This window comes from Homo sapiens, chromosome 3, assembly GCF_000001405.40.
Source record: "Homo sapiens chromosome 3, GRCh38.p14 Primary Assembly".
Taxonomy (NCBI): Eukaryota; Metazoa; Chordata; class Mammalia; order Primates; family Hominidae; genus Homo; species Homo sapiens.
The window spans coordinates 44,915,224-44,934,995 of record NC_000003.12 but is presented as its reverse complement, the minus strand read 5'-3'; the positions used below and the strand labels follow the sequence as shown (position 1 = coordinate 44,934,995).

The following is a 19,772-nucleotide window of genomic DNA, read 5'->3' as shown; positions in this document are numbered from 1 at the left end:
CAGCCCAAAAATTATCCCAATAATGTTAGAAATGTGCAAATTAATGAACTGATCTGGTCGACAGTTAAGCTCAAATGACTTTTTTTTTTTTTTTTTTTTTTTGGAGACAGAGTTTTGCTCTTGTTGTCCAGGCTAGGGTGCAGTGGCACGATCTTAGCTTACTGCAACCTCTGCCTTCTGGGTTCAAGTGATTCTCCTGCCTCAGCCTCCCGAGTAGCTGGGATTACAGGCATGCACCACCACACCCAGCTAATTCTTGTATTTTTAGTAGAGATGGGGTTTCGCCATGTTCGTCAGGCTGGTCTTAAACTCCTGACCTCAGATGATCTGCCCATCTCAGCTTCGCAAAGTGCCGGGATTACAGGCCACTGCGCCTGGACTCAAATGACTTTTCTGCTTGCTTGCTTTTTTTTTTTTTTTTTTTGGCTAAATGGATGTCATCTTAGAGCCAAAAAGTTCTTGGAGCTGGGCCTCCTGCTGTCCTTGACCTTGCTCTGAAATAGCCCTCTCTTCTGTCCTTTGTCCTTCCATGGTGGAGGTACCTGGCCCTCCCTGGTAGCACCTCATAGTGCTTCTAGAACTTCCACCCATCCCTTGGTGGTTTGGTCTTTTGGGGAAATAGGTAGCAGCCATTCTCCAAATCTTAGCCCACTTGGTCAAGTTTTTGAAACTGCTTCATTCTTTTTCTCTCGGGAAACCAAATCGTAAGCCCCATTACTTCAGGAGAGCAGGTTCTATCTTAGCCATGTAACCATGTCAGTTCCGTCCTATGTATGTGTTAAGCTAAGGGGCTTTGGAGAATGACTCTGTACCCGTTTGGAATGACTGCCACCCCTGGGGTCCTGACCCTGCCTCCCAAGCCCCACGTGACACACACCCAGCAAAACCCCTGGCAGTGCCCAAGGAAGCCATTTCAGAGGAGTGGAGCAGGAGCCATGGGTTCTGCGTTCCCCCGGGGCCCTCCCAACACCATGGGGATGCCCTAAAGGTCTGACCTGTGGGCTGTTTCAGTGTTTGTAAGCGGTGCATTCGGAAGATGGACCACCACTGTCCCTGGGTCAACAACTGTGTAGGCGAGAACAACCAGAAGTACTTCGTCCTGTTTACAGTAAGTCAGCTTGCAAATTCTGCCCTGCCCCCCATGAAGCAATGGAGCACTTTGTTCCTTTGAAAATTCTCAGCATTCACGATGTTCTTTGCTCAGAATACTGCCTGGCCCTGTAGATCTCTGCCTTCCTGCCAAAGATCTCTCTGGCTCAACAAGTGCCTGTACCTAAGCCCTTCACTTGAGCGTTTAGAAAATTGATTTCAGTTGATTAGCTATGAGCAAGGGCTGTATTCTGGGCTCCCATTCCAAGTGTTGGACCTAAGTAGCTCAAGAAGGCAGTTTGGGTGATGACCTCAAATCCTGAGGTGCAGGTAGGTGGAGTCTACTTAGTGCAAGGACTAGAAGGGCCCTCAGCAGTCAGCACCCTGGCTTTTCAAGGGAGGAGGTACAGCAGGCTTGAACCCCCCGCCCAGGCAGCTCATACTGCCTGGAGCCCAGGTCATGCCTGGTGACGGGCTTGCTTCTGTTCTGGTTCCACGTACTCCCGGAGGTGGCTGCTCACTTGACCCAGGGCTGGTGGGTAGACGGATCTGTAGGGAATCGCTAGCTGGCCCTCTGGTCCCTCCTGGTCAGGCCTTGTCCTGACTAAGTGTTCCTGAGTGGCAAATTCTGAGTGCCCCTGTCCCGGGAGCCCGTGAGGTCAGAGGATTCTCACAACAATGGTGTCTGCACTGGTTTCCTGTTTCAGATGTACATAGCTCTCATTTCCTTGCACGCCCTCATCATGGTGGGATTCCACTTCCTGCATTGCTTTGAAGAAGATTGGACAAGTGAGTATGTGCTGAGGCTTTCCTCCCTGCTCCAGGGTGGGTGTGTGACCTGAGTGGGGGGCGGGGAGGCTCTTTGTTTCCTTCATGGTGCCAGGGGCCAACCTCATTTTATTAAATCTCCTGAAAGCCTATGGACTGAACAGGGAAGAAATGGCAGAGACTGGAATCTCTCTTCATGAAAAAATGCAGCCCCTTAACTTCAGTTCGACAGGTAAAGTCATGAGTTGGACAGACAGACCCTCTGGACTGAGCGTGCCCAGGGAGAATGCAGGCCCCAAGCAAGCACAGAGGCCGGTTCCAATGCGTGGGAGCCATGCTGGGAGAGAAGTTTTGTTTTCTGTCTTTCCATGAGGCACTTAAATCAAAGATCATTTTATTCCAGTCTTGCAGAGATTCATTTTTTACTTTCTGGCTAGGACATGGAGTTTCTTTATTAATTTCTTTGGTTTTTGTGATGGTGTTTTTTAACTGCTTACACTGATAATCGTGAATTTACATTAAGATTGTAGATAATTCTTCCTGCTTTAGAGGCTTCCCACTGAAATGTGCAAATACTGAGGGAGAAACTCCAGCCAGAAGATTGCACAGATCCTGAAGGAAAACAATAGATGCTGGAGGAAAAGAAATAAGAGGCCACCTGCTGGGCTGGCTCTTTCATACTCACAATCTGTGAGACAAACGTCTTGAGCAAGGAACATTGTATTTCCTAAGCTTTTCCCTCCATGGGCCTCCTTTTTTTTATTTCACTGTCTTTAGAACTTTTGCTCTTCCTATACATGCTGACTTCTTCCCACAATTCTGGCATAAGTCAAATGGCAGAGGTCAAGCCAGCAGACAATAGAGATAGGAGAGGAGGGTAGGGGTGAGTGGGTATGTGCAGAACTTGCCATTCTGCATATCTAGGTGAGTCGCCAGCAAGTTCCTGATCACTTGGTGAGCATTCTGAAGTACATGCCTTCTGCTAGGCCTGGGGAACCAGATCTACTCCAGATGTGGCCTTGGTTACTTGACAAGGGAGTCCAATTAGGATATTTTATCATCCCAAACACCTCCCACCTCTCGTCAAGTTAACAGACTTGGGCAGGTGATAGGGGTAGCACAGACTGTCAGTGAGGCAAAATGTCCCTGTTGTTGTAATGGTGCTGGAAGGCACCATTGCATTAATGCCTACTGGGAGCCAGGAATGGCCCAAAGGGCTTTTTGAGCAGTGCATTGTTTCGCCCTTATAACAAGCCTGCAAGGTAGGAGAGATGCTTCCCACTTTGCAGATGACAAAAGCTGTGGCTCACAGAGGATGAACAAGTTTCCAGGATCACTCAGCTAACAAGAGGGTCTGTAGTTCAAGCCTAGGTCTGGAGCAAGATTTTTAGCCCTGTCTGGTTGACTCCAGTGGTCAGGGTCCTCCCAGCCATGCTCTTGATTAACTGTGGTCAAAATTCCTGATGGAGTGAGCTTCAGGCACCCAGCTTCTATGGCAGCTAGGCTGGGAAGGCACAGGTCAGTACCCAAAGTTGAGGCCTGAGAGTTGACTGTATATGACCATTACTGCCCTCACTGCTCAGCCCTGGTGGAGCTGTTGGGCCATAGGAGCTGGTGTGAGTGGGGGCAGAGGGCTGTCCCCCAGGATTAGGGCACTTTGAGTTGATATTTAAAGAAGGGTAGGGAGGTGGTTCCACACTCCCTGATCTGATTCCTACCTCCCCAAACTCCATTGGTAATTCCTGGGGCCCAGCCTACAGAGGAATGATGCTTGCTGCTTTGCAAGGAGGGAGAATAGGCCATGGCCCTGGGCTCTTCCACCAGCTCCAGGGCAGCAGAGGTAGGTAAGAAGGAGGTGCTTTGTCCAGCAGGCACCCCCATGTGCTCCTGCCAGGCCAAGGCCGAACTGTGCAGATGTTCTTTCATGAATTCTTAAGTATTCCCCTGTACAGAAAGGAAAACAAAATCTCAGAAAGCCCAAACCTCTTGCCCAGATCCTTTTGTTGTCAGGCACTGTCCCAAGGCTGGTTGTACAGCAGTAAGCAAAACAAAGTCTCCCCGCTCCTGGAGTTTGAAGTGTAGTGGGAGAGGCACCTATCAAACCAGTACAGAAAGAAACAGGTAATTCCACAATGCAAAGGACAGGAAAGACACAGGGGCTGGAACAGAATATTAGTATGGGCCTTGTAGTTAGAGCTCATGATCAGGAATTGGTGCCAGGATTTGTACCTCGTGGTGTCTGCCAGATGTCAGAGCCTCTCATTCTCCCCAATACCCTGCCCAGCCCAAGGCCACCCATACTTGTAGCCACCCACGGCCAGGCCATCAGGCTGGTGGCCACCCCAACCAAGCCCTGCCCCACAAGGAGCCAAGAAGAGAAATCATTCTGAGGCATCGATAAGTTCCCAGGGAAACCTGAGGAGATATGCATTGTGGATGAGATGTTTCTTACCTGTCACCCACATGGTGCTTGGTATCTTTCCAAGCTCATTCCCACATTTGACCTCCCTTGCCCCTCCTGACATTCCCGTGGGGGAGCCAGCAGGACAGCTTGGATGGAGTGCTTACTCCCTTAATTCCCAGAATTAATGAAGCCCGACTCTGCCCTCCAGGATCTGATCTTTCCAGCCAGGGAAACAGGCACAAGTATGGAAGCAACGAGAAATAAACCACAGCCCAGGCTCAGCCAGCATGGGCCGCTGCACTGAGGCACAGAAGTCCTTAGGTGAAGAGTGCCAACCAAGGGGCCTAGCCTGTCTGTCAGCACCATCTTCCAGGCCTGGCATTTCCCAGGCCACCTTGCTTCAGGGCCTTCCCCTCCCTGCTCACCCCCACCATCTCCACAGCACCTTTGCCTTTCTCTTCCATGCGCTGGGTTTCTGACTTAGACTTTGTTCAGACAAAAGATTCTGCTTAAAAGCAAACCATACCTCTAGTCAAATCTCACTGCTTCACAGTGCAGTGGGTGGAGGCCTGAAGATGGCAGGACTGGCCTCAGGTCCCCGGGGCTGGAGGCCAGGACAGTGAAAGTGCCTACTCTGGGCCCATGCCTCTTTGGTCGACTCCCTGGCCTTTGGCACTGTTGGCCTCGGTGCTGCAAATGTCCCTGGGAGCGGGGGCAGTGCATTACCTCACACTGTGGTCAAGGCTGAGACCCAGTAGTTCAGCTGCCCCTGCCAAGCTTAAAATCCCAAAGCCACCAAGTGATCCTCCACAGCTGCCTGTGAGCTGATGGGGCACAGAGGGGCAGCACGTCATACAGGAATGCCCAGAAAACCTATGGCCATAGCAGGACTGGACAGGCCTCTCCACCTGTGTACCTGCATTGTGCTCTCTGAGGAGAGCAGGGTCCCCTGTGGTGTCGTCAGGCGTTCATGCCTCACTTCAGAGGCCTTCCTGGGCCCTTCCATGTGTCAGGCACTGTGCTTGGCACTGGGGGCAGTGAACAAGGAATGATTTGTGTTAGGGAAGGGAAGCCCTGGCTGGGGCCTGGCCTGTTGAGGAGGCCTCCCTGAGGGATTGAGAGATAGCCAGTGTGGGCCAGGATGATTCTCACCGTAGCCTGGAGGCCAGAGACCTATGGCACCCAGGAGGAATGAAGGCCTGCAAGCAGGAGGCAGAGTGGGCGCCTAGTGGGGCAGTGAGCCTGGGCAGCAGGCAGTGGGTGACAGTACCAATCCCTGTGTGCTGCTTCTCTTTCAGAGTGCAGCTCCTTCTCTCCACCCACCACAGTGATTCTCCTTATCCTGCTGTGCTTTGAGGGCCTGCTCTTCCTCATTTTCACATCAGTGATGTTTGGGACCCAGGTGCACTCCATCTGCACAGATGAGACGGTAAGCAGGTGGCTCTGCCCACCATTTCCACACCTGGGGATGGGGAGGACCCAGGGTCAGTGTTGCTGGGAGAGCTGCTCACAGTCAGACTGGAGCCCAGTGGTCAGGCCCCTGGTGTGCAGGGCACAGTTCTTTGTTTGCAGTTACACTTGGGTCATCTTCATCCACACACAAGTCCTCCAGCCTTGGGGCAGCCATAGCAGATCACACCAGGAGTGCGGCCCAGCAGCCGTGGCTGAAAGGCTGCCTTTACCACATTTCCTTCCATCCCCCCCATGGCAGGTCTTCCTTTATACTGTACTGCATTAGACACTCCACTAGGCACTGAGGGCACCCTTCCCATCTGGGGGCCACAGGCTTGAAATAGAGTGGTTGACAGGGTGCCCTAACCCAGCTGGGACAGGCAGGTCAGCTTGCCAGCCATGCCTGGGTCCTGAGGGCAGAGTCAGGAGACAGGTCTGCCTTGAGCCCCCAGGGCAGCAGGCTTTTACCTGGCCTCTGGGTCATCTCTGTCTGGCCCAGCCCTGGTCCTCATCCGCTGCCTTCTCCTCACCCCTACCATCACCTCCCATCTACCCACAGCATCTTCGCTGGAAGCTTTGAGGCTGCTGGCTGTGCCAGACTGGGGCCTACTCCCTTGGTGCCCCTACTGCTGTCTCCTGACCTTCCTAAGGTGTCTGAAAACCTCAAGGTGGTCAATCCCTGGCTGCAATATGGGCATTTCTCTGGGGATTTACATAGGAAGAAGGGGTGGCACTTAGCTCTGGGTGTGAGGAACAAGCAGAGCCATGAGGTTGAGAGCCATCCCGGTACGATTCCTGGTGTCCTGAGGCCACCTCAGGGTCAGCTTTCACCAGTGGTCTAGGGCTCTGGGTGAAGGTTTGGGCCTCAGGGTAGTCAGCATTAGAAGCGGGCTCATAGGATGACAACATCCTCCCACTGCTGCTGGGCGCCTTCCCCTGTGGGCTTAGAGGAGGACGTGCAAAGAAAAGAAGGGACAGTGCTGCCCACTGCCAGAGCACCATTATTCGGGTCTTCCGGCAACTTTTAGAAGGTTGCGGGGCTTTTGGCAACTTTTTTTCTTTTATAAGAAATGATGTCATTGCAAAAGAGTTTCTGTAAAACTAGTAGCCAATGGTATAGATCCAGCCCTGTATCCAAGCAGTAACCGTGACCAACTTCTCTACGTAAGATATACGGGGAACCCGATGGGGATTCTTTCAGGACCAGTCTGCCATTGGGATACTGCCGGGCCACGGTCTGGGGGAGCCAGAAGGCAAGCTCTCACGGCCCCAGTCCTAGCCGTTCTTCCCTGAGAAGACCATTCCTAAAGAGAATTGTGTTGGAAGGAAAGGAGAAAGCTGGAGGGCCCTGCCCCACCTGGGAAGGGGTGTCTTCCCTTTGGCCTGTGCCCTTCCCAGGTCCCTAGGCTGTGAAGAAAGACCCAGACTCAGCTGTCCTCCCAGCACCCCTTTACTAGAGACCACAGCAGACAGACCCCTGGCCAGGCTTCTGCCAGGCTGCTCCTGTCCTTTCCCTCTGGGCAGGGGCCCCGTTCTCAAGCCCTGCCCTTTGACCAGCTCCATCTGAAGAAGAGAGAGAGGGAGGAAGCAGCTCTTTCCCCAGCCCCAGTTTTTTCCTGAGACTTAGCAGGGGAAGCAGCGCTGGCTCCGTGACAGCTGCTGCATAGGTCTGCGCCATGCTTCTCCCCAAAGGAGCCACTAGGAGGACCTTTGCCATGCCATGCTGGCTGGCCTGGCCATGCCACCCTCTAACCTGTACTAATCCCTCCTCCTTCCTCCTCTGGTGACTTCTCCCCTCATTCGTGGTCTGTCACTCCTATTCAACCTTCTCAGTTTGTGTCTCACCAGGCCCACTAAGCGGGGTGCTGCTTGATCCCCCAGGCTGGTGAGACACACAACGCCAGAGCAGTCATTTGATTTGTTACTTTTTTTTTGTCTGCAAGGTGGTCATGGTAGCTTCAAACTTCCTAGGAACCTATCCCAAATTAATGGCCATCATTGGTTATGATGATTGCGAGCTCCCCAACAGCTCTGAGGCCTCTCACGCCAAAGCCTTCATAGTACTCCATCCACAGCCCAGCACAGAGTTTCTGAAGAGTGCCTCTGCAGAGCTCAACAAGGGGCCAGGGCTGGAGAGACGCGCTCCTTATCTTAGCGACACACCCCGGCCTGGCATACTTACAAGCAGCAGTTTCTGCGCTGCTGATAGTGCTTCTTTTTCCCTCCCTTCTTGGAGGGACTTGTGAATGAGTGCCCACCAAAAAAAGGAGAAATTTTTTTAGTAACACTTTTTATGAGAAAGATATATTAGGTAGATAGCTTTGTTGCTTTAAAAAGGAAACATTTACTCCATTCACCTGTCGCTGCGGACATCCCTCCCCAGAAACCACAGCAATGCAGTGCTTGACTGAAAGTATGATTGTTCTTGTTTTCAGGGAATAGAACAATTGAAAAAGGAAGAGAGAAGATGGGCTAAAAAAACAAAATGGATGAACATGAAAGCCGTTTTTGGCCACCCCTTCTCTCTAGGCTGGGCCAGCCCCTTTGCCACGCCAGACCAAGGGAAGGCAGACCCGTACCAGTATGTGGTCTGAAGGACCCCGACCGGCATGGCCACTCAGACACAAGTCCACACCACAGCACTACCGTCCCATCCGTTCTCATGAATGTTTAAATCGAAAAAGCAAAACAACTACTCTTAAAACTTTTTTTATGTCTCAAGTAAAATGGCTGAGCATTGCAGAGAAAAAAAAAAGTCCCCACATTTTATTTTTTAAAAACCATCCTTTCGATTTCTTTTGGTGACCGAAGCTGCTCTCTTTTCCTTTTAAAATCACTTCTCTGGCCTCTGGTTTCTCTCTGCTGTCTGTCTGGCATGACTAATGTAGAGGGCGCTGTCTCGCGCTGTGCCCATTCTACTAACTGAGTGAGACATGACGCTGTGCGTGGATGGAATAGTCTGGACACCTGGTGGGGGATGCATGGGAAAGCCAGGAGGGCCCTGACCTCCCACTGCCCAGGAGGCAGTGGCGGGCTCCCCGATGGGACATAAAACCTCACCGAAGATGGATGCTTACCCCTTGAGGCCTGAGAAGGGCAGGATCAGAAGGGACCTTGGCACAGCGACCTCATCCCCCAAGTGGACACGGTTTGCCTGCTAACTCGCAAAGCAATTGCCTGCCTTGTACTTTATGGGCTTGGGGTGTGTAGAATGATTTTGCGGGGGAGTGGGGAGAAAGATGAAAGAGGTCTTATTTGTATTCTGAATCAGCAATTATATTCCCTGTGATTATTTGGAAGAGTGTGTAGGAAAGACGTTTTTCCAGTTCAAAATGCCTTATACAATCAAGAGGAAAAAAAATTACACAATTTCAGGCAAGCTACGTTTTCCTTTGTTTCATCTGCTTCCTCTCTCACCACCCCATCTCCCTCTCTTCCCCAGCAAGATGTCAATTAAGCAGTGTGAATTCTGACTGCAATAGGCACCAGTGCCCAACACATACAGCCCCACCATCATCCCCTTCTCATTTTATAAACCTCAAAGTGGATTCACTTTCTGATAGTTAACCCCCATAAATGTGCACGTACCTGTGTCTTATCTATATTTTAACCTGGGAGACTGTTGTCCTGGCATGGAGATGACCATGATGCTGGGGTTACCTCACAGTCCCCACCCTTTCAAAGTTGACATATGGCCATCCCATTGGCCAGAATCCACAGACACACCTAAGCCTGTGGCACTGGGACAGAATAGATTTTCCATTTGAGAGGCACTTCCTGTGTCAGTCTTGTTTGAAGGAGGTGGTGATGGTGGATAGAGGTGAAGGAGGTAGGGAGTGCCCTCCAAGTGCAAAAATAACAAATATGATTATTGACCATCGGGGAATTCTCACACATTGATTTGTTTTTTAAGCAATTGCCAGAAACCCCCTTTTTTAGCTTTTGCTTGGGGTGGGGGTAGGAGTTAAGGTTTATTCAATCCTGTCCTGGGTAGGGCGAAAGTTAATCTAGCCATGTGATTTTTCAGAAAAGTAAGTGGAACATGCTGCCACTTTTCAATTCTGTCAGTGCTTCCACATGGAAACAAAATGCAATAAAATTTTTCCAAAACCTGTTCTGATTTAGCTCTCTCTTGAGGTGTTACCCTTAGTGGGAGGCCGACTATCCACAATCTACTTGAGTTTTCTCTGGTTGGGTGTTTGTTTCATTGCTCTGTCTCTTGAATGAGGATACTTTATTTTTTTTGTTTTAAAATGCATTTATGGTCCCTCTCTTGAACCAGCTTGCCCCACCAGGCCTCTTTCCTTTGCTTTCTGCAGCCTGAATCAATTCCTTTGTGCTGATGGGCTCTCCTAAGAGCTTTCCTGAGTCAGTTAACTTTACCTCGTGTCTACGGTGCTATTCATGCGATACGGGCGAGGCTGAGATGCTAAGATTAAAAAGAAAAGAATGCTGTTTTAGATCAAGTTGATAGCATTTGTTTTCCATATGCTTTTTTAAAATTTTTTCATAACATACAGCTCAGTTAGGTGTATGAAAGAAGTGTTATTGTATTAAATAACTAGAGCAGGGCTACAGCTCTGGCCCTCCCCTAGGGGGAAGAGATTGGTAATACTCCATCTTCCAGGGCATTTTTTAAAGTGAGCCAGGTTAGCTCTTTTCCCCTGGCATTTCTCAGGAATGCAGTAGATAGTGCTGAAGATGCACTGACTTTTTTTTAGTCCTAAAAATAGAAACTCCTCCTTTAAAGCTGTGCATACTATGCTTATCTTTCCAATAGAGTGGGGTTCCTTCAGATATCCTATAGGATTCTGCCTCTGGTTTTGTATAGGCCTTGGCTAGAAAGAGTCAATGTTTCTGAGCTCTCAAACCAGTTGCTCTCAGAAGATAGGAATACCCCAAGGTTCCTGGCATTTTTCCTATTTCATTTTTGTTCAGACTGATATTTTGCCAAGAGCACAATGACTGAGGAATGTAGCCATCATTTGCAGGGTAGTGATTGGTTCCCAGCCTGGCTTCCACACAGGACAGGAAGGGAAAGCATCCCTGAGCTCTCCTCAGTATTTCCGGATGTAATGAAAGAGGACATCTTTCTACACAAAGTCAGCCCCAACTTTTGGCTTGGTCACAGGAGTTCTGATAGTACTGTTTGGTGCACTCATGGGAAATTGAACCAGTCGTAGCCACAGTCTTTCAGAGCCTGGGCTCTGGGGAGTGGAAGTGAAAAATAAAGATGTGGCTTGTTGGATTGTGATCCCCAGCTTGCTTTCCTTCTGTCAACTCTGTCAGGTTTGTGTTCATAGCAACTAGACTGAATATGCAAAAGGCTTAGATCCAAGCAAATCTATAATCTATGCATATTTGCATGGGCTTGGTAATATCATGTACACAAAACACATTTGGGTAGAAGTGCATGTGCTAAATCTCCTTTTAGTCCCACCATTTTGTCTTCTTCATACTGTACTTCCTCTTTTTTGTTTGAGACAAGGTCTTGCTCTGTCACCCAGGCTGGAATGCAGTGGCACAATTAGAGCTCACTGCAGCCTTGAACTCCTGGGCTCAAGTGATTCTTGTGCCTTGGCCTCCTGAATATCCAGGGCTACAGGCACGTACTACCATGCCTGGCTAATTTTTTTGTTTTTTAATAGAGTCAGGGTCTCACTGTGTTGCCCTAGCTAGTCTCAAATGCCCGGCCTCCAGCAATTTTCCTGCCTTAGCCTCCCAAAGTCCTGGGATTACAGGCGTGAGCCACTGGGCCCAGCCCTGTACTTCTTGAAAAAGCCCCAAGTATTAGCTTTTGCTCATCTGGCTAGGCCACTTAAATAGTTAGAATCCACCGTCCCCTAATGCAGAAACCGTTTAGGTGAGGTAAATTAACAAACATTTTAAGCCGGGCGCGGACACTTCTCACTGTGGACATCCCTCACGCCTGTAATCCCAGCACTTTGGGAGGCCGAGGCGGGCAGATCACGAGGTCAAGAGATCGAGATCATCCTGGCTAACACGGTGAAACCCTGTCTCTACTAAAAATATAAAAAAATTAGCTGGGCGTGGTGGCAGGCGTCTGTAGTCCCAGCTACTTGGGAGGCTGAGGCAGGAGAATGGCGTGAACCCGGGAAGTGGAGCTTGCAGTGAGCCAAGATCGCACCACTGCACTCCAGCCTGGGCGACAGAGTGAGACTCCGTCTCAAAAAAAAAAAACAAACATTTTAAACATGTATGTGAGGTTGGCATTACACAGAAACTCCTCTCCGGGTGGGCTGGGATGGGCTTTCTCAGCCAGGCTAATGGGTTTTAAATTTCTCTCTTTTCAAGACTTGCAGTGCATCAGCTTAAAGGGTGAGCCAGCCAGTAGAGGGGAAGGCGCCCCACCTAGAAGGTGCCCTTAGATATCAAAGAAATGTGAAAAGAGAAAGATTTTGCTAGAATCCTCCTCAAAGGTGTTCTTGAGGTTGCCAGACCAGCAACGTCAACATCAGCATCACCTGAGAACTTGTTAGAAATGCACATTCTCGGTCCCCACCCCAGGCTACCGAACCAGAAACCGAGCGGGGCCCAGCAGCCCGTGTCTTAACAGCCCTCCAGGTGATTCTGACTATCAAGTTTGAGAATCCAGTTGGGGCTAGCAGGAGTCCCCCCTCAGGTGGTCCCTGATGCCTGCTGGTGATATGGGTCTTGTGTGCTGCTGGGCTCAGCATAGTGCAGTTGGGGTGTGCTGATTGTGAGACAGGCACGTGTTCCCTCCGCGGAGAAGCCACTGAGACTGCCTTCCCTCATAAGCTGCGGCCTCCCCAACAAACAACTGCCAAGACATCAAAGAAAGTCTGTATGAAGCAGATCCAAATTATTAGCCTGCCCACCACTCCTTGTGCATCTCATCAGTGGAACCCATCTCTAGACCAAGGGCCCTTTGGGTGAAGAAGCAGCCCGGAAGGGAAAGAGAAAAGAGTAGAACCAAGGGACCTCCAGATGGGAGCGGCGGCCGGTGAGTAGTCTAGAGCCAGGGGCATTGTAGCAGCCTGGATACATGACCTGAACACGTCTTGACCTTTGCTTTCTACGTGTGGGTTTCAACACCCATGTGGCTTTTTCTTGTATTCTTTAAATATGTATCTGGCTTAGGATCACCTCATAGAAGAGAAAGAATTCACAGTGAAGCAGAAACAAGCCACTGACCAGCGTACTCCCAACCTGAACCTTCTTTTTCTCACCCTCTCCCTCAAGTAAACATCTTGCTGACTTGAGCAGTGTGATTGCCGTAGCAAAGCAGAGTGGCCCCCAGGGATCCCGCTCTGTTGGGCCCACAGGAGGAGCCGATGAAGCTGATCCAAGGAGTGAGGACAAGCGCTGCAGAGGGACGTTCGCTAAAAGCCTTCTAGGGGCCGCACATGCTCTAACACGGACATAAGGATGCCCTGAATTTCTGCAGCTGAGGCCATATAGTCTGGTGACCAAGTATTTGGGTCCTGGCTTCAGTCTTTGGTTGAAATGTCTGCTTGGCTACTTATTACCGCACCTACTACCAAAATATGACCTTGAGCAGTAACTTCTTTAAGCCTCAGTTTTTTCATCTGAAAACGGGAATGATAATCTAAATCACAAAGTTAATGGAAGGATTAAATGAGGGTGATGAATAGGAATGTATAGCGTCTGGCCCTGGTATGGCTTTATAAATGTTAGCTGTGTTGGAGCTGTGCTTTTCAAACCATTGGTCACAGCCATTCATGGTTTGCAACCAGCATGTTTTTCAAGAAAAATGTTTAATGCATTACATATTGCAGGATAAGTATTGTTTTATGAAGCTTAGGGAGTTGTGTGTATATGTGTTCTGGAATGCAACAGAAAAATGTTTCCTCTTGTGGGTTACAATATAGAGGTATGAAATCTCTGATGAGGAGAGACAGTGTTATCTGGCCCGCTATGAAGAGACACATTTGCATAGGCTGCTCCCTGAGGCTCTGGCTTTCTACATCTGATGATACAGGGAGCAGGGAACAGCCTGTTCTCGTTCTGTGGGGCTCAGCTGAGTCTGTTCTGCACAGACTCTTCCTTCCTCGGGAGCCTTAGTCCTAATACATTCATTTTGGAGTGTTGGTGAGTTTGTTCACAGATCACAGCTCATGTGTCACCCAGACTGACCTGGGCCAAAAGGCCCATCACACACCCTGCAAGAGCTTCTGGTGTCGACTATGACCCCCTTACCAGGCATCAACCATTTTTGTTCGTTCTCTTGAGCCTGAAGCTACTATTACTGCTCCTCTGCAAACCTCAAGCTTAAGAACTTTGCCTGCAGGATCCCTTTAAATCCACACAAAACTCAAAATTGAGTCCTACCAGGAAAAAGCAGCCCTCAGCCCATTTTTATACATCGGATTTGTTTGCAATATTTTCTTTCTAGACTCAAAAGTCAACACTCCCTGAAAGTTTGTCGACTTTACTGCTGAAGACCTCTGGTAGACAGGCCAGGCTCTGTCTGGAATACTTTATGAGGTTGGTGAGGAGGTTGAGTATAATCCAAGAGTGCCTATCTGGGAGCATGCCACATGAATGGCAAATAATCATCCTGTGGGCTCTTGGCTTCATTCCCCTTCTCTCTGACTGAGCTCAGCCTGGGCACAGTGGTGATTTGCAGTAGAACTGGAAACCTGTTGGGCAGAAAAAAAGACACTAGTTCTGGTTCCAGTTCTGATACATAACAAGCTAGATGAGCCTTGGCCACCGTCATGGCCTCTTGGAACTTCTGTTTCTTCCCCATCTGCCAATCATCAATACTCATACCCACCTCCTCACAAGGAGGCCATAAAAACCTATGGTCATGGCTTTGAGTCCAAGTCAGTGTGGATGCAGCCAGTCTGTCATTTTTGGGTGTTTCCTCTGTAGCCGGGTCTGCCATATGGTGATGTCCCAGCTCTCGTGCTATGAAGTTAAAGCCTCTTTCTCAACAGGCTGCAGATGATCACCCAGGAAGAGAATGCAGAATGCCCAAAGCAAACCATCTCAGCTGGTCACTGCTTCTGTGCCAAGAAGGGAGGCCTGGCGAGGGGCCAGTCAGGAAGCAGCATGGCATCACATGCTCATGACCCACATGAAGGTCCCTTTAGACTTGTGTCAACAAGATCCATTTTCTGAAACAACTATTTTTGTTCTGATTATAAAAGTAACATTGGCTCATTGGTAAAACTTGGATTGTGTGAGAAGTCTACAGAAATAAATACAAATCCTCTAGAATTCCATCCCCAAAAGTAACCACTCAGACAAATGTTCTAATGTCATGTAAAACCATATTAAACCATCTTTTCTAGCTGCATAGTGTTATAGAATCATTTGCTTAACCATCATTATTGGGCATTTCTCATTTCCAGCTTTGCATTATTATAATTCAGTGTTCAAGTTTGTATTGCATAAATCTTTGTCTCAGATTATTGATTATTTTTAAACTTTTTGTGAAATCAGACTTACAAAAATGTGACAAAAACAGTACAAAGAGTTCCCATGTACCTTTCAGTCAGTCTCACCAAAGGTAAACATTTTATACAACCATAATACAAATATAAAACCCTGGACATTGGCAACACCATACCCTTAACTAATGTATGTACCTTATTCACATTTCTCCAGTTGTCCCATTAACACCCTTTTCTGTTCCAGGATCCCACACTGCATCATTTGCGATGTCTCCTTAGTCTCCTCCAGTTTGTGACAGTTCCTCAGTCTTCCTTTGTCTTTCATGACCTTGACCCTTTTTAAAAATCGAGGTGAAATTCCTGTAACACAAAATTAGCCATTTTAAAGTGTACATTTAATGCATTCACAATGTTTTGTAACCACCAGGTCTGTCTGGTTCCAAAATCTTTTCATCAATCTTTGACCCTTTTGAAGATTGTAGGGCAGGTATTCTGTAGGCTGTCCTTCAGATTGTGTTTTTGATGTTTTTCTCATGATTAGATTGAGGTTAGGCATTTGGGGCAGGAGCACTGCTGAAGCAATGTGTCCTCGTTGCACCGTATCAGGAGGCATATGGTGTTGATACGTTTCATTATTGTGATGTTAACTTTGATCATTGGGTGAAGGTGGTACGTGCAATGTTTCTTCCCTGCTATTAAGGTACTGTTTTTCCCTTTGTAATTGATAAGTATCTTATGAGGATATACTTTTGAGATCCAATTTTTTTAACTTAGAATTTATTCAAAAGTCAAGAATCTTAAATCTCTGAAATGGCGTGGGAAGAAAAAGTGCTAGATACACAGAGATCTTTCTTGAGTCATGTGAAGGAGCAGTGCCCAAGCCCAGCAAACCCACAGCAAATTCCCTTGGCTTCCAGAAGAGATGGAGAAAGCAGTGCCCCCAGTGGAGGGTCAAAGGCCTCTGTGCAGGGTGTTGTGGGCCTGGAGAGCTGGCCTGGCCATGTCTTTACCTCCTCTGGGCATCTCCCCACCCCAACACCCTTTCTGTGGCCTGGTGGCTGAGTTGCAGCCGACACCCAGAGGCAGGTGAGTTGACAGCTTGGAAGAGGCTGCAGGGTGGATCTGCTGCATGAGCAGGCCTGAGCCCAGCCTTACCTCCCCACAGTGGTCCTGTGTGCCCTCCGGCTGCCTAATGCATGTTGGCACTTGCTGTACGAGCACCCGCTTCTTCACCTCGCATGCTGTTTGTGTCCTGCACTCCTTCCTTAACCCCATCGTCCTTCTGCTGTGTTTGCAGCCCCTATCTACCCTGGTGGGAGTGGCCAAAAATATTTAGGAGGGGATCACCAGTTTGTAGTGGCCTCAGAGGATGTGTGGTCCCCCTTATGCCTCAGCCACTCATCAGCCTAGCCCCTGCCCATCATCTGGCATTGCACTTGTGGAAGGAAAGAAGGGGAGGGCTGGGTGGTGGGTGGAGAACACGTCAGTCCACCAGGCGGGCCCTGCTTGCTGTGTTCCTCCACGCTGCTGTCCACCCACACCCCAGCAGTCCTCTGAGGGACCTCCCGGGGGTGACCTGGGCCACAACAGACTGCCCACTCAGACCCCATCTTACCCATGCCGTGGACACCCCGCCCCCCCCCCCGCCACTGCTATGCTATAGCTGGGGGTGTCTATGTGAGCTGTACAGCCCAGCACCACGCTGACGATGTTCTTCATCCCCTTCTCCCTGCAGGGCATCGAGCGCCTCAAACGAAAGAACCAGCCCAGGGAGCACATGGGGAGCTGGCAGTCAGTAAAGGAGACCTTTGGTGGGGACTTCTCCCTGAACTGGTTCAACCCCTTCTCCAGACCGTGTCAGCCAGAGATCCCCAGTGACAAAGACATGGTGCGGCAGGTGACATCGCTGTCAGACACCGAAACAATGGAGGATCCATCAGAGGAGACAAAGGACGAGGACTCTGTGGAGGTGACAGATGAATAGATGCTGCTGTGGGGAGAGAAGCAAACACTAAAAAGTGCTGTCAACCTTCATCCTGGGGTTTTGGCTAAAGGGGCTTATGGGCATGGTGCGCTCCCAGCACCCCCAGTGCTTCCCTTAGCCACTCGCTTGGCCTTGCCATTTCCCCTCCTTCTTCTCTCCATGTTGGGCCAGGTCTGGGGGTCGGGAGTAGGCTGGGGACATCAGAGGAGGATGGGGGCTTTCTCAGAGTTCATCTAAGAAGAGTCTGCACTGAGACGGCTCATCAAGAACCGTTCTCCAAGACTGGGTGGCTTTCACATTCTCCGCCCAGCAAAGGGAGCTTTTGAACAGGGCATCCCAGGGGCAGAAAAGAGCTTGCCTTTGGCTTTCCCCAGGATTTCTGTCTTCTCTTGGGAAGGCTGGGCCCCTGGCTCCTGGCTTTGAGAAGTAAGGTTGTGACAGAAGGACCGGGCAGGGCTTGCCTTGGGGACCTGGGTTGGGACACTGACATCAGGGGAGACTAGCCTGGAAAGACTGCAGAGCTGCCAGCTACTCCCTGGAAAGGGCTTCCCCATGCTGCCTGCCGAAATTAGGAGGTAGAGGTGGCTGCCACATCTACCTGCAAGGGCCAGGCATGGTTCAAAGAGGACCCTGCATTAAGCTCTACACACACATGTGCAGGACATGTCCAGCATGGACAGAGCCAGAGTTAAGACAGTAGCACCGAAAATGAGCCCCCATTCCACAGACACTGGAGTCTTCACTGAGCGAGACAGCTGGGAGCTGTCCTGCCTGTGGCTACATATCTAGCCATTCACAGATGTGGATATGGGAAGGACCTCTTTGGAGCTACTGGGGACTCCCTAACCACTCGCATGAGAACTTAATTGAATGTTACCTCTTGGAGGGAGTCTAATAACACATGTAGGTAGAACTGACCATAAACCCTGCCTGTGTGTTTGAAAAGGCCAGTTCTCCCAAATTGGTGCCCATCTTGTCTCTGAAAAGATGGGTGATGGCCAGGGTCTGCTGATTGATGAATCAGATGAATCAGGAAGATAGACAAACACACACACACACACACACACCCCACCAGGATGAGTCTGCCCTCTATTCACCCCATTTGAAGCCTGTGGTGTCTGTGACCACTGCTGAAGGTCTGAGCAGCGTTCTGGTGCTCCTAAACCCCATTCCAGTGGTTGCTGAAGCAGCATCTTCTGCACAAAGCCCAACAGAAGGGTTCTTATCCCCGTTTGGTATAAGAAGTGGATTCACCACCCACTCCCTCCACGTGCCTTTGTTCCTCTCTTTGGCCCATTTCCCCAGCGTCTACTGGCGTCAGGATTGGCAGGAGCACAGGCACTCAGCAGAGCATGCCCCTGCAAGACCTCAGTGTTAGGGCCCCCCTTCCAGCTCCAGGCAAAAGGGCATGAGTCCTGGCCCCAAGGGGCCTGTGGCTGCAGTTCAGAGGAGAAGAAGGTCAGTGTTTGGAGGTGCAGCCTCAGGATGCTGAGAAAGGAAACTGGCGACCGTGAGAAAGAAAAGAGCCAAGCAGCATCCTGGTTCTTGGACAGCATCTTTGGACACTCTGTGAAGGGCAACGATCCTGCCAGAGACCGTCTCTCTACAACTGATGACCCACTAGGGCCTGGGGTTAATTGCTCAAAGGGCCCAGTGTTCACAAAGCCACCTCTGCCCTAACCCTTGCCAGAGCTCTCCAACTATGACCCACGAGAGGGGTGATGGTGGGATTCTAACATCAACAGAGCAACCAGAAAGACATTGGGCCTCCCACACTCAGGCTGCAGGCCCACTTTCTTGGTCCTTATCAGCTTTAATATTTATTAATGACGACATAGGAGCCCGAGTCAGCTGTAAAGGCCATTAACTTGCAATCTGGACAGGAAGTTGACGCTCACCACTTTGGGTAAGAGCTGCTCTGACTGTAGGGCCCCCTATTTGTTGTCCTAACCCAGAAGCAGCTCTGGGCTGCCAGGATGGTGGATGGAATACCAGAGAGTTCACACTAGGGAGGAAGCAATGCCTGCCCCCTGGAGTCTCCTAGGGGGCAGCAGTTAGAATAAGGGAAGAGGATTTGCTGGTCACTGTTTGCTGACATGGGTTTCCATGGTGAGTTCAGGCCTGAGGACAGCAGTGTCTGCAAAACCACATGGCCCTTGAGAAATGTCCTTGCACATTGGGCTTCAAACTCCTCTTCTAGGGAATCCATCTTGGCCTGAAAGCAGAGGTACAACACCAGCCCCAAAGGCAATTCTGTTTTCAGATTGGTTGCTCTGGAAAGGAAGGCTGGGGTGAGGGGGCATTTTACTTGCACAGAGGCTGACCCTGCCTCCCCTCTTCACTGACCCCATCTCCAAGGTAGACCTCAGCCATGTCAGTCCCTGTTCTGGGAGGTGCTGGGCTGGGCCACAGCCAGGGTTATGTAGGTAATTAACCTGTCCAACCCTGAGCCTCGCCTCCCCACACCAGCAACACAGTGGTCTCTCTGTGGTGACCATTCACAGCATAACATTCTGCTTAGCCTCAGACTGAAAGCATTGCAACTGATGTCAAAACCAGATGAGATCTTACAGGGAGAGAGATTGGGTGCAATTTGCCTCTTTCTTTGAATAAAAAGCTCTTTGCTCACCCTCAGTGACTGGAGTCTCCTGTTTTAATTAAGAGATCCCAG

General features: G+C 49.9%; 1 protein-coding gene across 28 annotated transcripts in view, besides 1 other annotated feature; it reads left to right on the top strand.

Moving 5' to 3' along the window:
• ZDHHC3 (zDHHC palmitoyltransferase 3) overlaps positions 1-19,735 on the top strand; it is a 60,914-nt gene extending 41,179 nt beyond the window's left edge. For 6 of the 28 annotated variants that reach the window (XM_017006561.2, XM_047448260.1, XM_047448261.1 and 3 more), the window contains 6 exons: positions 1,012-1,108; positions 1,797-1,878; positions 2,006-2,089; positions 5,560-5,690; positions 16,035-16,203; positions 16,853-19,735. In XM_017006561.2, the coding sequence (XP_016862050.1) occupies positions 1,012-1,108; positions 1,797-1,878; positions 2,006-2,089; positions 5,560-5,690; positions 16,035-16,203; positions 16,853-16,995 (706 nt within the window). In that variant the 3' untranslated portion in view covers positions 16,996-19,735. Of the gene's footprint in view, positions 1-1,011; positions 1,109-1,796; positions 1,879-2,005; positions 2,090-5,559; positions 5,691-8,148 lie in introns of all 28 variants that reach the window. The other 22 variants (NR_146162.2, NM_001135179.2, NM_001349379.2 and 19 more) reach the window with 8 other exon arrangements.
• Positions 406-1,233: an enhancer, noted in NCBI's record as "H3K4me1 hESC enhancer chr3:44975255-44976082 (GRCh37/hg19 assembly coordinates)". NCBI's record gives its function as "activates a minimal SCP1, AML or CMV promoter by ChIP-STARR-seq in naive H9 embryonic stem cells {active_cell/tissue: H9 hESC(naive)}" and the evidence as "EXISTENCE:reporter gene assay evidence [ECO:0000049][PMID:30033119]".
• Positions 19,736-19,772: the final 37 nt, after the last annotated feature.